Source organism: Homo sapiens, chromosome 4 (assembly GCF_000001405.40).
Source record: "Homo sapiens chromosome 4, GRCh38.p14 Primary Assembly".
Lineage (NCBI taxonomy): Eukaryota > Metazoa > Chordata > Mammalia > Primates > Hominidae > Homo > Homo sapiens.
Window position 1 is genome coordinate 174,858,097 of NC_000004.12, and position 18,113 is coordinate 174,876,209.

At 39.0% G+C, this 18,113-nt stretch overlaps 1 long non-coding RNA gene across 1 annotated transcript in view; it reads left to right on the top strand.

The window, feature by feature from the left end:
* LOC101928551 (uncharacterized) overlaps positions 1-17,868 on the top strand; it is a 44,237-nt gene extending 26,369 nt beyond the window's left edge. The window contains exons 4-5 of the long non-coding RNA NR_125900.1: positions 10,710-11,939; positions 17,699-17,868. This is a non-coding gene — a long non-coding RNA (uncharacterized LOC101928551). The remainder of the gene's footprint in view (positions 1-10,709; positions 11,940-17,698) is intronic.
* Positions 17,869-18,113: the final 245 nt, after the last annotated feature.

Genomic DNA, 18,113 nt, shown 5'->3' on the forward strand with positions numbered 1-18,113 from the left:
AACACATGGACACAGAAAGGGGAACATCACACTCTGGGGACTGTTGTGGGGTGGGGGGAGGGGGGAGGGATAGCATTAGGAGATAAACCTAATGCTAAATGACGAGTTAATGGGTGCAGCACACCAACATGGCACATGTATACATATGTAACAAACCTGCACATTGTGCACATGTAGCCTAAAACTTAAAGTATAATAATAATAAAATTAAACAAAAAAAAAGAAGAATTTTCAGTTTGTTCAGGATTTTTCTTATTGTTAGACTGAAGTGGTGATTTATAAGCTTCTTACATGGTAGGCCAGAAACTGGAAGTTTCTTATGGTTCTCTTTTAAACTATTTTAAAAACTTTAACTGATATTAGATTTGGGGGGTTTTTTGTCATTGTTTGTTTGTTTGTAGCTTTGGTGAATATTTGGCCTTTTTTTATTTTTTATTTATTTTTTATTATACTTTAAGTTTTAGGGTACATGTGCACATTGTGCAGGTTAGTTACATATGTATACATGTGCCATGCTGGTGCGCTGCACCCACTAACTCGTCATCTAGCATTAGGTATATCTCCCAATGCTATCCCTCCCCCACTCCCCCCACCCCACAACAGTCCCCAGAGTGTGATTTTCCCCTTCCTGTGTCCATGTGATCTCATTGTTCAATTCCCACCTATGAGTGAGAATATGCGGTGTTTGGTTTTTTGTTGTTGCGATAGTTTACTGAGAATGATGATTTCCAGTTTCATCCATGTCCCTACAAAGGACATGAACTCATCATTTTTTATGGCTGCATAGTATTCCATGGTGTATATGTGCCACATTTTCTTAATCCAGTCTATCATTGTTGGACATTTGGGTTGGTTTCAAGTCTTTGCTATTGTGAATAATGCCACAATAAACATACGTGTGCATGTGTCTTTATAGCAGCATGATTTATGGTCCTTTGGGTATATACCCAGTAATGGGATGGCTGGGTCAAATGGTATTTCTAGTTCTAGATCCCTGAGGAATCGCCACACTGACTTCCACAATGGTTGAACTAGTTTACAGTCCCACCAACAGTGTAAAAGTGTTCCTATTTCTCCACATCCTCTCCAGCACCTGTTGTTTCCTGACTTTTTAATGATTGCCATTCTAACTGGTGTGAGATGGTATCTCACTGTGGTTTTGATTTGCATTTCTCTGATGGCCAGTGATGATGAGCATTTTTTCATGTGTTTTTTGGCTGCATAAATGTCTTCTTTTGAGAAGTGTCTGTTCATGTCCTTCGCCCACTTTTTGATAGGGTTGTTTGTTTTTTCCTTGTAAATTTGTTTGAGTTCATTGTAGATTCTGGATATTAGCCCTTTGTCAGATGAGTAGGTTGCGAAAATTTTCTCCCATTTTGTAGGTTGCCTGTTCACTCTGATGGTAGTTTCTTTTGCTGTGCAGAAGCTCTTGAGTTTAATTAGATCCCATTTGTCAATTTTGTCTTTTGTTGCCATTGCTTTTGGTGTTTTGGACATGAAGTCCTTGCCCATGCCTATGTCCTGAATGGTAATGCCTAGGTTTTCTTCTAGGGTTTTTATGGTTTTAGGTCTAAGGTTTAAGTCTTTAATCCATCTTGAATTGATTTTTGTATAAGGTGTAAGGAAGGGATCCAGTTTCAGCTTTCTACATATGGCTAGCCAGTTTTCCCAGCACCATTTATTAAATAGGGAATCCTTTCCCCATTGCTTGTTTTTCTCAGGTTTGTCAAAGATCAGATAGTTGTAGATATGCGGCGTTATTTCTGAGGGCTCTGTTTAAACTTCTGCATATTTTGTCTTGTAAAGGGAACTTTGCTAGAGCGTGAAACACATTCATTTTAAAAATTAGGCATGTTTAAAGCATTCCTAGAAGACAATGTGGTAGATGTAGATGATGTACAAATGAATACTAGGGAAAAAATCTTATTCTAAAATAGAGTCAAGTCACACAGGTTAAATGATAAATAAGCTTTATTTCAGTTCCTCAAAATACTTCCCTCTCTCTTCTCTAAAGCGTTTATATTTACTCTTGCCTCTAACTGGGATGTTCAACTCTCTGCATGGTTAACTTCTCTAGTCCTCCATGTCTCAGCTTGAATACTTCCCAGAGAAAGCTTCTTCCATCTTGTGTAAAGCAGCACCATACCTGTTACTCTATCACATCATCTACTTTGTTTAATTACCAGGTCATGATAATCTATTTTATGGATTTACTTATTTATTTTGACTCTTGTCTTGTAAGGTATGCTTCATGAGGTAAGTACCCCCTTAGACTTTTTTCTTTATATTTTCATTACTTAGAATGATCACTGGCACAGGATAGATCCTTAAATAATATTTGAATTCAAATAATGAAAGGACTACAAATGAGCTTCAGAGAGGAGAAGTTTCAGGATGTAAAATGGCATTTATAATTGAGATCAGTCTTCTCTTCCCCTTACCCACTTGCATTCTTTTATCTTAGGATAAAAGAAAAAATGTGAGAGTGAAAAACACAAGGTGGTGGGAGAGAGAGAAAAATAGATGTTTTTTATACAATGTGCAATATTGAAAATTTGAGAACACAGACCAGGAAGAACATTTGCACTGATTGATGGAGTCAGGCTGGAAAATTTGGCACCATTCCTGGCTTAGTCTGTGGGGTCCTTAACATTGATAGTCAACAATAATTGGTGTAGACTTAGCACCAAGGTCAGCCTCAGGGTCAGACATTTGAATCTGCGGCAGCTGCAGATGCAGTTGTGTCTCTAGTGAGTGTCAATAGCATGGTTGACATTTGGAGGAAGGATATTTACTAAGAAAAAGAAGAAAGAGAAAGTGATAAAACATAATGCAGTAGCCATGGAGACCAGCAGCTTCATGGAGCATTGGGCATGACACTTGTAGGAACCTCTCAAGATTATCTAGGAAGAGATTAAGGGAGGTTGGCTTTGTTGAAAAATTAATAGGAACATGCAGTACCAGACAAGTTTTACATTGTGAACTTGTTTTTAATCTTTTCTTATTGCCAGATTGCTGAGGCCTAAGAAACAAAGGTTTGCTTCTAAAAATAATTATCTTCTTTCTTCGCCCCTTTGATAGAGAAATCACAAGACAAAACAAACAAACAAACAACAACAAAAAAAACAAGCCAAAAATCCCTCAAGTACCTCCAAACATTTTCTGTACCCAAAATGTTACAAATGTCTAAAACAAGTAAATGTTTCTTTCTTCTAGCCATATAAATTAAGAAGAAGAATATAGACATTTAGGATAATTAAATTCTTTTCCCATGTTCCTTGTGTTCAAAGCAAAGTTCTCTGGGTTTTAAGGTAGCAAAAAATCGTGAAAATTATTATTCCCACACACTTCCATATATTCTCATATCTTAATTATGATATATGAGTTTTTTACCAATATAGGCCACACTTGACTTGAGTGTTTTAATTATTTTTTGCTGAATGAAGGGAAATTTATGACAATTCAGACTCACTCTTGGCTGAATGAATGTTGGTAGTGTCCTTGCAGTCTCTTCTTTTAGACAAAGGACTGGTGGTGGTCACTTATGTTCTCTACACCACTTTCCCATACTTGTGAGAGAAAGGTCCCAGCCTGGTCAAAGTCTTACAAAAATAAATGCTGAGAATGTCCGTCTTGGCCATTGATCTGTTTTCTGTTCCATGCTTTTGTAAACCCCTGTGGTGATGTATTAGTCCATTTTCACATCACTATAAAGAACTGCCCAAGACTGGGTAATTTATAAAGGAAAGAGGTTTAATTGACTCACAGTTCAGCATGGCTGGGGAGGCCTCAGGAAACTTACGATAATGGCAGAAGGCAAAGGGGAAGCAAGGACCTTCTTCACAGGGTGGCAGAAGAGAATGGAGCCGGCAGACGAAATGCCAGGCACTTATAAAAACATCAAATCTTGTGAGAACTCACGATCACAAGAATAGCACGGCGGAAACCATCCCCATGATTCAATTATCTCCACCTGGTGTGTCGTTTGAAAGGTGGGGATTAAGGGAATTATGGGGATTACAATTCAAGATGAGATTTTGAGTGGGGATACAGCCAAACAATATCAGGTGACTAATAATATGAGGAATTTTCCTATGTCTTTCTCTAACTTGTAGCATATAGAAGACATTCCACCTCACAATGACTTCAATGGTAGTATGCTCTACTACTTTTTTCTACAGATAATTACTTCAACAGTACTAGAAATTTATGTACTACCTTTAACGCTTAGGGTCCCATGACACAGAGTGTAAATTTTTCATCCAAGTCTTATACCTGTACCTAAGTTGTATTAAAATGGAATCTTTCCTTAGAGCATTCAGAGACTGACAAAACCTTGAAATAATTTCAAGTAAAATTATATTTATGTTTATAGATGTACATTAAAAATCAGATTCATTGTTGAATCTTGACATTTATTCAAGAGGACATTCACTTTAGAAATAGCTCAAGGGCATTTCTGAAATTAGATATCAAATTTGAAGGTCAATAAAAAGATGATGCTTTACTTTTTAGCCATTTTCTTTGCCTCGGTGTTGCTCTAGGCATGTGTGTGTGTGTGTGTGTGTGTGTGTGTATGTGTGTGAGCATATTTGAGTTGTTATTAGATTCTCTCCAATTTATGGTATATTTTATATTCTTGTAAAACTGCCTACAGGAATAGGTTCTACTATATCTAAGAAATAAGAATGACTTTTTTAAACTTAGAAAGAATGATACATAAACTGATATTTCTTATTCAAAAATATCTAATAAATTATATAAATAGCAGATATTTAAGCACTTATTATCTTTCCTTTCAGCTATACTCATATTATGGAATCTTTAAGCTGCTTTAACTTTTTCTCATACTATTTGGTATAAAATTTTCCTATATAAATGTTTTCAGCTTTTAGGTCAAATATAGTAGCATAATATTACAATATGAGGACATCACATAAAAGTCACAGAAATAAGTGAATTAATATTTATATGCATAGCAATATTTTTTAGTATAATACACATAGTCACAATTGAAGTATAAATAAATGATCATATGCTGTTTAAATCGTAGGTTGTTTTAGCTTGAGGACTGCCATATATTGCCATCTACAGTAACAGCTACTTCTTTAACAAACTGAAAGACTGCTATATGTTTCCCCCTCAATTAACTGAGTGATGAGTCTGAACAGATAAAGGAAACAAATTGGCAAACGTGATCTGTATTGCCTGCCCTGGCATTAGAAGTTTGGACAGATTATATTTCCATAATAAGAGTACTGTCTGCTTGAGAGTACCTAGATGAAGTGGAGTTTTTAACATACCAAACCCTCAAACCAATTAGAACACTGCATGGTGGCAACAAGAGTCTCCTTCCCTTTAATGAGCCCTTGGTAATAAAAGTCTACCACTGCTGCTACAATCTGTATTGGAGATAAATTTAGCACCAAAATATTTTCATATAAGCAATGGGCTTTAGTCGTTGTACCTAAACTATATAATAGGTGCCCTTCCTACTTAATAGACTTCCTTCCTGAACCTCTTGATCTTGACTCCCATTGCTGTCTCTGAAGCAGAAGGCATGGATGATTATTGCCTTATACCAAAGACTCTTGTTCTGTAAGCTCAAAGATCCTCTAATGTAATGCAATTCACTGTGTGTTCAGGTATCATCTGGCCTCCTTCACATTGCACTGTAGGAAATGTGACTTGGAAAACTGGTACAAACAAAAAAGCTGATACTCCAGCTACTCGAATTGCTGTAGTAATTCATTATTTTTTTGTCTCTGACCTGGGAGTCTGGTGCCTTCTGCAAGCACTCATGAGGTTCTGGTATGTTAGTTGGTAAGTGGCATGAATCTTTAATCCTTCAGAATTCTTGTTGGTTTGGGCTATGAAATTGGGACGCTGAAAGAGATACAAAATTTTGGAGAGAAAGACAAAGGCCTAGTGTTCTTGGATCAGTGATATGAGAAGACTTCCTGGAATTTGATGGTGAATTCCTGCCTGTAAATGAAAGTCTGGAGGGTGAGTGGTGTCTTGGTCATTCTCACTCTTCTTAGGGCAAGCAAAGGAAGCAGCAGTATCAGAAAGAGGGGGCAGCAAACCTCAAGTCCCAATCTGAAAGGCCGTGTAGTTGTGGCTACTGAGTCAGAGTTCTGAAGATGAAGCAGTGTTGGCAATGAATACCTTGCTATCAGTATAAAGCTTGGTGATGCTGAAAGCATTAGAAGTTCATTTGGTTGTGCCATGAGTGACTGACAATTGAAACTGAATGTGCCTTGCTTACGAACATGGAACCACTCTCTTCCTCTTCACCTACAGTTCCTTATTTATCCTCTATTCTAATTTAATATGCTTTAAGGATAAACAAGATTAATGGTAAAGCCAAGATTTCTTTAGTTCCAAGGAGGACCAAAGGTCATATACATACTGAACTTTGGAATAAAGTGGTATTCTAACTTTTTGACTGATGGATCAGGCACACAAGTCACCAATGTACCCACTCCCATGAGGGGAGCAGATGCTTATAAACAGTCAATGTAATTTGGCTAGGGTTTATAAGGTTCACAGTAGGAGAACAAGGCTAATGTGACCTTGTGTGTGAGCCTGTTAGACCAACTCAATATACTTTTTTGGTTGCTTTTACAACTAAATATAGCGTAAAAATTAATGTGTTAATACTTGCAACTCCCATCCCAATAATATCAGAGCGCATGCTTTCAGGAGCTGGTGTAGAGAAGTCCTTCTGCCGTTGGGGGTACGGAAACCCTAATGACATTGTTAAATCTCAGTGACTGATAATTTTGCTGATTGGAGCCCTGTCATGAGTTGAAATGTTTCCCCCCCAAAAAATGTACGTTGAAGCCTGACCGCCACCCCACTTTTAAATGTGACATTATTTGGAAATAGGATCTTTGCAGGTGTATTCAAGTTAAGATGAAATCATAGAATTAGAGTGGACCTTAATCCAATATCTGGTGTCCTTATAGGAAGAAAGAAATTTGGACACACATAGGGAGATCCCCATGTGAAGACATGGAGAACACAAGGAGAAAGGACTTGTGATGACTGAGGCTGAGATTTGAGTAATATAGTTGCAAGCAAAGGAAAGCCAAGTATTTTTTGGCAATTACTAGAAAGTAGGAAGAGGCAAGGAAGGATCCTTTCCTAAGTCTTCAGAGGGAACATGGCCCTGCCACCACTTTGACTTCAGACTTTGACCATCCGGAGCTGTGAGGACACAACTTGCTGTTGTTGCAAGCCTCTCAGTTTCTGGTACTTTGTTATGGAAATCCTAGAGAACTAATACAGAATTCTTGGTCGTTTTGGCTATGAAATTGGGACAGAGCCTCTGATTTCCACATACAATTGCCACTTGGAGTTTTATATTCATGACTTCTCTGACATGACTCTCAGGAAAAGCAGCTATTAGCTTGCAACTGGGCTCTTGTGGAAACTAGACACCTCATTTATGGAGTCATTGTGACTACAACCTGATACTTCCATTTTAGGGTAGTTCAACTCGGACTCAATGACTAACAATGTGAGAATGACCTAACAAGTCTCACTTGTTAAATATAAATGGTATATTCAAGAATGCAGCCAGCCTTGTCCCATTGGAATCTTTGTTTAGATGAAAAAATGGCAGCTGTTCTTTTGGGGGAAGCATTCCACTGCTTAAAGCAAAACTGCTAGCTCAATGGGGCCTACAATGCACAGAGAGTTTCTTCAATGCCTGGTCCTGGATCACTAAGGGTATTCATTGGGATTCTGTGGCTGTTCAAGCTCTGCACTGACTATACAGAACCAAAAGCACAGGTGGTCATGCCACCCAGTAGGCAGAACTAAAGCCTCTTCTCATCTCTCTTTCTGGTCAATACTCCCACTTAGTAAAACATTTTATTTTATGGATTCATGAACAGTTGCAAATAACATAGCTATTTGGAATGCCATTTTAAACATTACAGACTATCAGATTAAAGACATCCTTGTTTGGAACTGTGGCCTATGGAAACAAATTGCAGCTACTGTTCAAACTGCCTGGTTCGTTTATGTAGATATTCATGGTAAGGGCCTGTTTTCTGATGATACCAACTGGAATCAACACTTCAATCATAGACAAAGGTATTTGATAGACTTTTCACACTCCCTACTATTCATAACCATCTAACATTGCTGGACATTGGAATGACCTCTTCAAAAATTGACTTAAAAATATTTCTAACCCTACATCCTTTGTGTCACCCTGATCAACGTACCTTAGAAAGAAGGGCATTCTAGTAAATTAATGTGGCTATCTCCAGAAAGGGATTTGCTTTCACGTGCTTCCTGGGTAGTGATTGGGAGAAAAGCAATGGGAGCTATGTAGACAGATTTTGAAAATTTGGGATACTGTTGTAATCATTCCCAAGTATGATGTTTCTTTCTTTCCTCTAGCAACAACTCCAGTCTGTTCTTGATGTTATACCCTATTAGTGGCAGTCCACTGAAAGCAGGACCTAGCTGATTCAAAATTAATTCTGATTTAGACACTTGAATTCTCTTATTAGATATGCATGGTCATATATTGAAATGACCACTTGGTTGAGTTTACTGCTTGTTAAGTCCCACAGTAGTGGCCCATGTGAGCCAAATTGGGTCCCGTAGAAGGTTTTTGTAAGTTTTATAAAAATTCCTTTGTCTCTCTTAGACTTGAGCTTTCCAGATCAAAGATCTGAATGTGAGTAGGGAATGATTTGAAAAAAACAAATGCAGTGATAGCTACTGGAAGAGACTTTAAGGTTGTAGCAGACAGACCATAGAGTGGTCCCTGGGGACCCTCACTTGTTTATTATATAGTGCTAGAAAGCCTGGAAAAATTGTCTCCTAATGTTTATGGGAAGCAGAACTTCTAATGATAGACTTATTTATTTAGCTAAAGAGATTTCCAAACAAAGTGTTGAAGGTACCATCTGGTTTCTTCCTCCTGCTTATAGTAAAATGTGTGTGTGTGTGTGTGTGTGTGAGAGAGAGAGAGAGAGAGAAAGAGAGAGAGACACTTGAGGAGAAAACTGTGAAGCAAAAAGGAACGAGGAACCAGGACTTGATGAATTTGAAAATTCTCATCATATTAAAATGGCAAAAGATGCTAAAATTCAGACATCACTTCTGAAATCTTGATATAGAGAAAAAGCCAAAGATGTGGCTGTGTTAATTCTTGCTAAAACTTAAGAAAAAAACAAAAAGTTAAAGTTTTCAGTTCCACAAAGACCCTTTGAAGAGTTTAAAGGTGTGTATTGTAGCTCCTCTTAATCAAACCATAAGGCCTACAGGAGGCTTAAGGGCACTGACCCTTACCCATCTCAGCAGGAGGTTAAAAGAGAGAATGGATTAACTTGAAAAGATCTGTGGAGGTAGATTTTGTCAAATCGAGTAAAGTCTACTTAAAATCCATGGGAGACCTACAAAGTTTTTGCAAAATTTATTTCATTAAAAACACTGCTCCATAGACTGAAAAGGACAGAGAGAGTGTAAAATGAAAGAAAGTTGTTAGATCTCTAAAATTGTACTTACAGGAAGCAGGCTGATAAAACCACTTAGCAGCAAAAATTCTACCTTCCATGAAAAAGGAAGAATCCATAGGGTAGATCTTAATACCATGGAGGGCAATTCCAGGTCTTAAAAAGCAATTAAGAAATGACAAACATTTACCTATTTGTATTTAAGTTCTACTGAACCACTGTTTCTGCCCTCCATTTTACCTTCTTTTTGACTGGGACTGTCTTCTGCTGTTATTCTATTTTAGTCTTACCACTTTATATTAGTGTTCTAGGGGTTGACAACTTGTCTTTAGTTTTTCAGATCCACAGTTAGAGAGGAATTGTCCCCTGGGAACTGTACTTAAAAGATTTCAGCCAGAAGCCTCATCTGCGCCTGGACCTGGTTTAGATGATGAAATTTTGAACTTTGAGCTTGATGCTATAATGAATGACACTCTTGAGAACTTTGGAAGGTAGTGAATGTGTGTTGCAGGTAGAAGGGACATGAGTCATTGGGGGCCAGAGGGCAGACTACGGACTATGGTAGGTAGATCATGGGATGGTTCTCCCTGATTCCTCTCTCCTGGTGTATACTCCCTCATATAATCTCTTTCCATTGATCACGGGCTGGACATTGGACTTATAACCAATATAATTCAGTGAAGGTGATGGGATGTGACTCCTGAGATTACATTATGATGTGTAACATTCCAGCAAACTTAGTTTAGAGAACTTCTCTGTGTTGGTGGCCTTAAAGCAAGATGCTATGTGGTGAGATACAGTAGTTGCAATAACTGTGGATGGAGCGTCTAGTTCCTGACATAGTCTCTCATAAGAAACTGAAGCCTCAGTCTTTCAGCCATAAAGAAATAAATTCTGCCAACAACCCGAGGGACCCTTGGGAGCATATTTTCCCCCTGTCAAACCTCTGATGAGACCACAACCCTGGTAACACCTGGATTGTAGCCTGGTGAAACCCTTAGCAGAGGACCCAGTTAAGCCATGCACAGATTCCTGACCTATAGTAACAACAAAATAATAAATGATAGTTCTTTTAGGATGCTAAGTTTTTAATAATTTGTTACACAACATGGAAACCTAATGCAGGAATGATGAAGGGAGAACAGCCTCATCACCTGAGAAAGGAATACCTCAAAACCCAGGATGTAGGAAGAAGGAAGGATAGTGATTTTTTTTTTTGTCTTTCAGATTACTCAAGGAGCCGTCTCATGTAGAAAGATGCCCTCATAGGCTCTCACAAACTGTTGCAAGCATCTCAAATTTTATTGACTGCTGGGTCTTACAATTCCTCACCAGATGGCTTTGAACACAGTTCGATCATCAATCTCATTGATGCTACTGATAATTCTGTTGGAACAGCAGGAGATGGCTCTAGCTCCTAAACCTGCCACTCGAAACACCTGTCATCACCTCCAAAGATCTTTCCAATACCCACTGGTACAGTTGTAACTCAATCACTTCGCAAGACAGATAATTGCATGTGGCCAAAGATGTACCTGGTCAACAGGACAGGTTAGACTATCTGCTCTCAGGTAGTCCCTCCAAATCAATGGCTGGACTCGGTTGTTCAAAATGAATAGGAAATCCTAAGGCTTATCAGCAAATTGGAAAGTCATGTTCGAGGTCCTATCAAGCTAGGCTCCTAAAAGATATAGTCCCCACCTGGAGGAGGGGATCAAAGAATTTTAAACAGCTCTTTCATTTTAGGGCCACTATTTGTGCCCTAAGACTATGCTTCTTGTACAGAAGCTAGCTATTAATTTGCCTCCCACTCAAACATGTTTGCTTAAAAACTTTAATTGTGGTTATTAGGGAAGTTCAGAGTGATTTGGGTCACATTACCAGAGATCATGTATCCAAAACACAACTGTAGAGATCTCTCCCAAATGTATCTACCCTTGTTTACTCATGGGAACTTCCTGGGAATGTAACTGACTCATTACATTGTCACAACTGTGGGCAGTTTCCCTAAAATGGGAATCATCCAGTTAGAAAGGGTAGTAAAAAATATGTGTCCAACTTTATCTAAAGTCATCAGTGATGCCATCTGACCCTTGAAAGGTATTCAGGTCGGCCGGGTGTGGTGGCTCACACCCGTAATCCCAGCAGTTTGGGAGGCTGAGGTGGGCAGACCACCTGAGGTCAGGAGTTTGAGACCAGCCTGACCGATATGATGAATTTTTAGTCTCTACTAAAAATACAAAAGTTAGCCAGGCATGGTGGCATGCGCCTGTAATCCCAGCTACTCAGGAGCTGAGACAGGAGAATCACTTGAACACAGGAGGCGGAGGTTGCAGTGAGCCGAGATTGTACCATTGTACTCCAGCCTGGGCAACAAGAGCAAAACTCTGTCTAAAAAAAAAAAAAGAAAAGAAAGAAAGAAAAAAGGAAGGTATTCAGATCAGCCTCAACTCACTGGTAAGGATTGCCTTAGATTTTTATCCTTGAGGGCCAAGGATTAGTCTGTGTAATTGAAAATATATCCTGCTGGATTAATGCTATGGACCATTTCAATGCAGAAACTTGTGAAAGACACTTCTTGGTTTTCTAAAGTAGACCTTATTGATGTATAGGAATTATTCTATAAATACCTTGAAGGACATGGATGAGCATAATATTGCAGATTGACCAGATCTACTTGTTTAGAGTACTAGAGATAGTAGCCTTATGGTCAGATTATTCAGGGTAGCTGTTGAGATTATTCAGGGCAGCTGTTGACATGGCATAATCTAATGGGAAAATTTGCCAGAAACCAAGATGATATTGATTAGAGGGAGTGCTGTTTTGGGGAAACAATTCTCTATGGATCTCTGATGTCTCCATGTCTTACAAGCAGAAGCACTGACTGCTGTTTGTCCTGGACTATCTTTTAAGGCATATTTACATAGAGATAGTGTCTTCACGGGAGCAAAGAGCACACATGCTTACTGCCCAGATAATGTTTCTCTGAGAGCAAAAAGCAGAAATGCATCCTGCTCATTACTAAAGATTCGTGTTTCTTAAGCTCAGTGTCTCTTTCCTGTGGACTACAACCCACTAAATGTGCATGTATCATCTGTCCCTCCTAGTGTCTCCTTATAGAAATGGGGACCTGGGAACAGGTGCAAAATATATGCTGATACACTGGCTACTGGAATTAGCTTAAAGTAATAAACTCCCCTTTTTCTGTGACTCAGGAGTCTCATGTCTTCTGCCACCAACCTTGAAGTTGGGTCAGTCTAACTTGTTAAGTTACAAATAGGGTAGAACCTCAGACCTTTCGCAATTCTTAATAAGGTGATGTATGCCACATTTGGGCCAAGGCAGAGAAAAAATGTGTATGGTTCCCCTCACCTCCCATCCCCCTTTTAAACTGCTATTGGATGGAAGCCCACAATGAAAAGAGTTGTTTCTCTGACAGCCCTCTGCATAACAGGAAAAACTGGTTGTTCTATTAGGTAAGACAGCAATCATTTTTTAGAAAGCTAACTTACTGAAGTAGGGTTTATTTGCTACCATGGTGGGAGGTTTGTGCATTAATTTGACTAAGAATGACAGACTAACAAATGTGAGTAGCCAGAAATCACACACATCACACCTTCTGAAAATGTCTGTGGAACCAACTGCAGATGAACACATAGGCCAGTACGTCTTGGTAGGCAGCACAGGTGGTGATTCCCTTACTCATCTGCTATGGTGTATAAACTTCAACTTCAAGGCCTAAAAGCCTCACAACCCCATAATTGGAGGTGTTCTGAGTTTGTCTTGCTCTGCTAGGTCTCTGAGCATTACTCTGGTATGTGATGACCAATGGAAGACTTGTCTAGCTACCATTGGTTTTGAGTCTTTTCTAGTACATGTTGTTCCTATTGGTCTAGTATATCTGCTGTCTGAGCATTCACCTTTGTTCACTTACTATTTCACACATTTCTAGAATTACTCTATCAACATAGAAATAGTATTGGATGATGGATGCCACTCCAACTAGTTATGAACAAATGTGGCACTTTATCAGTAGTTGAGCAACAGGCTAAGAAACAGTAAACACTTCAGGACAGAAGGTTGGATAACTTATTATGTGGCAAATATTTCATAAAATTGCTGTGTGCCATAATGTGAAAAGCAGACCAAGATTTTACTGTACCTGTATTTCTTGGGAAATTTTGTTCTAAAAATTAAAAACATTTGTGTATGTTGGCTTTACTCCCTCTCCCTGTAAAATGGGACTTTAAGAAATAACAGTTCATGCAATAACTATCTGCTTTGATAGCTGAAATGGGAAAGAATAGAGAAATTTACCGCTTAGCAAGATTGAGAAAATCTACAGACAAGAAGGGTAAAACAAGACAGAGAACAAGTTAAGGGCAACAAATACCCAGTAAAGTTTCCCAGTTAATCTAAGTGACTCAGTCCAGAAGCAAAGATCAGATAAGGTTTTACTTTGCCTTTCAAGTGAAGTGTTTTAGGTGGTCTCAAAATAGCCACCATTAGGTTGAGAGTGAAAGGTGTGGAAGGGAGAAAACGAGGTAAGACAGACTTGAGAATTATTTCTAACAAAGGACTTTCATATAGTTCCTGGTACTTAGCATTGATTAGAAGCAAAAGCCTCCCCAAGTCACAGGAAATTTTTCTGGGGAAATTTGATAACTAGTTGTATGTATCAACTTGACTGGATATTACTTTCTCCTACTTGATGATTCAGACACTCGGACTGTTTCTAAATTTTTGTGCAAATAGTTCCCAAGGATTCAGGGACTTCTGTTCCCAGCTCAAAATCTGGGATCTCACTCCCTGATTCTGTATTCTAGCAACTCCAACACAGATCCTACACTGTCATGATCCTGCGTTTCAGTAACTAGCAGACAACTATATGCCCTTATCCCCTTTCCCATCCATTTTATAGTTACAGTGCAGGGACAAGACATCCATGATAAAAAGCAAAACAAATATGCCACCTGAATATTCAGAGAAGGGAAGAATAAGAAAACACACCAACTCCAGTTCAAGGCAAAGGGGCAATCCTATAGGAGGGCGTCATGAAGCCCTGCTCTGGCAGGGGTGGAAGTTCCTGAGTAGACAGTAATTCTGCTCTCTGAAAGGATCATTGTTCTCTGTGAGCCTTCATTGCACTCTACATAGATTTCCTAGTTCATGTTCCTGTTAGAGTCATAGGTGAGGTGGATGTCTACAAGAGTATTTAAGGAGGAAATCAAAACCTGACTTGATAGACTGAGTAAAGATCACCCTTCACCAGTGCAGGTGGGCGTCATTCAATCCACAGAGACCCTGAACAGAACAAAAAGGTGAAGGAAGGAAGAATTCACACTCTCTTTTTCAGCCAGGACATCTGTCTTCTGCTCTTGGACATCAGTGCTCCTGATTCCCAGGCCTTAGGACTTGAGTCAGGACTTTTATCATTGGCCCTCCATTCAGTTCTTGGATTGCAAGTATACCAGCAGCTTTTCTAAGCCTCTAGCTTGCAGACAACAGACCATGTGACTTCTCAGCCTCCAGAAGAATGTGAGCCAATCCCTCATTAAAAAATCTTTTTGTATATATCGCTCTATATATGTCCTAACAATTCTGTTTCTCTGGAGAACCGTAGCAATAAAAAAAAATCAAAATCCCTGAAGTAGAAAGCCTTTGATATTTGTTCTTGAACTGCTATCAGATCCCAAAACACACACAAGCACAAAGCATGCTAGTAAAGCCCCACAGCCATCACAGAGGGAATAACGCCAACATCCACCTCACCTCTGACTCTAACAGGAACATGAACTAGGAAATCTATGCAGAGTGCAATGAAGGCTCACAGAGAACAATGATCCTTTCAGAGAGCAGAATTACTGTCTACTCAGGAACTTCCACCCCTGCCAGAGCAGGGCTTCATGACGCCCTCCTATAGGATTGCCCCTTTGCCTTGAACTGGAGTTGGTGTGTTTTCTTATTCTTCCCTTCTCTGAATATTCAGGTGGCATATTTGTTTTGCTTTTTGTCATGGATGTCTTATCCCTGCGCTGTAACTATATAATGGATGGGGAGGGGAGATAAGGGCATATAGTTGTCTGCTAGTTACTGAAACGCAGGATCATGACAGTGTAGGATCTGTGTTGGAGTTGCTAGAATACAGAATCGGGGAGTGAGATCCCAGATTTTGAGCTGGGAACAGAAGTCCCTGAATCCTTGGGAACTATTTGCACAAAAATTTAGAAACAGTCCGAGTGCCTGAATCATCAAGTAGGAGAAAGTAATATCCACAAGTTATGATAGTGTAAAATTCTATTGTGTTAAGCCACTGAAATTTGCAGGTTTCTTTCTTAAAATACTAGTGTTATCCTTAGTTGGCAATTCTCAAATTAGTATTCATTTTCAGCACCTAAAGAGCCTTTTCAGACTTTTTATTTATAATGACCTCTTATTAAATTTTACTGTCTGTTTATGTTTTATATGTGTATCTTTGCATTACATATAAGAAGAGAACTATTCTCCCTCCACACCAGAATCATTTTTTTTTTTGCCCCTTGAGGGCGCAATTGCCTGATTGAGAACAGGTGCCCAGAATGATGCTAAGATGTGTTCCCTCTCCTGCCCACCTCTCTTTCCTCTCTTAAGGTTCCCATCTATCACTGCACACTAATCATGTTCACCTTCTTTCTATTTCTTGAACATGAAAAGCTCTTTCTAACCTGAAGGTCTTTTTTATTTGTTTACTCTTTTCCTTGAAAACTTTTAATTTCAGTCTTTGTACTGCTGACTTCCTCTAATTTTTTGTGATATTTCTTAACATTTTCTTAAATGTTACCTTTTCAGAGAAACCTGTTTCTAAGGTGATCTACTCTTGTTATTCTTAGTATTCTGTTTTCTTTCATAGCACTTATGATAATTTTAATAATATATTTGACTATTTTGATATGTACTTATTCTTATGCCCGTCACTCACTACAAGACACTCCATATATACTTGGAATTAATATACTTGCTAATTAATACTGAAGAGCAGACATAAAAATGATAAGTTAATGAATAAAGCAAGCAAGCAAGAAAGAAAGGAATCAATAGCAGGTCAATTCCACTATTTTTAAATTAACCTTCTTTTCACTCCATTTCCTCTTTTGCTGTCTAGAGTTCAAAGTTCATATTTGGTTTTGCTAAACTTTAGAGAAATTTCTCATTAACCTGTGAAAGAAATGTTAAGTATAAAATTTCACTAAAGCTGAACAAGTTCATGCTCACCACTTCAGGTCCATCTGGTAGCTTCTTGCCCAGATTTCCTTCTCCTGAACTTCTCATCCAGAACTTTCAAGATGTTTTCCAGAGGCCCACGATAATACTTACTAATAAATATGTTACAAAAGTTAGTGACCACATGTACTACCTGAAGGTGTTTCCAAGGAGAAGATTTCCCCTCTCCACTGTCTTTCAAGGCCACCCCTCAGTGAAGTTGTAGTGTTCAGTCAACCCTTCTGTGAACCAGGCTTTAGTTTCCTTCTTCCTTTTTCATTCTTCTATTAGCTGGTCACTGGGGCTTCACACAAAGGCACAGGTGTAGGTGGAGATAGATATGTTGATGTAGAGTAGGTGGTGGATGGGGTGGTTCCTACTTGTTTATGTAATTTACTTATGCCATCCAGATCTGCTTGGGCTTAATCCCACATATACCACTTTCAATTTATACTGGTTTGTTGCTAGGTGGCCTACATTTATGACATGATGAGTCTGACAATGATTAGTGTATGATGGGCAGCTTTAGTCATATGGTCGTTTGATGCCTTACAATCAGATATTCAGTTTCCAGTAAGGCCCCCAATCCAGAAATTGTACTGCAAGTGGTTTACAATTCCCTGCTGAAGAGGAAGGTCTTATTCCAAACCCTAGTGGCCTGTGCTGTAACTTTCTTATTAGAGTACTCTGAGGACTCCACACAATGTTCTTTTCTACAGCAGAGCTCAGAATATTATAGCCTACGGGACAAATCTGACTCAGGGCCTGGTTTTGTAGTTAAGGTTTTATTGGAACATAGACACACTTATTTGTTTACATATTGTCTGTGGTTCCATTTGCACTACCAAGGCAGAGTTGAATAATTTTGGGATAATGGTAGCGTTGAATAGTTGTACTACATCAGCAGAGTGTAGTCATTGCAGCAAAGACCCTAAGGCCTTCAAAGCCTAAAATATTTACTACCTGGCCATTTACAGAAACATTCTGCTGACTCCTGCTCTATAACTTGTTGGATCTGCCAGATCATATCACCCAAGTGGTAAGGCTGTTTCTACAACAGCGTACAACTGCTGCTAAGCTGACTTCGGCTCTAGACCCACTCAAAATTGGCAGTGTTCTAAGTCACCTGATAAATGAATCAAAGCAGTACGCCCTAGTATGGTATGTGTTATTTCAAAAATCTGCAAATGTCTGCCAAGCATTGCAACCTTTCAGTAGCAGGAAGTTCTGATGTCCTGGCATGCACCATATCATTGGATCCTTAAAAGTTTCATTAATATGGCAGGTCCCTTGCTCTAGCAAGCAGTCAACTTAAAAAGGCATACATGATCCGGCGCAGTTGCTCACACCTGTAATCCCAGCACTTTGGAAGGCCGAGGTGTGTTGGATCAC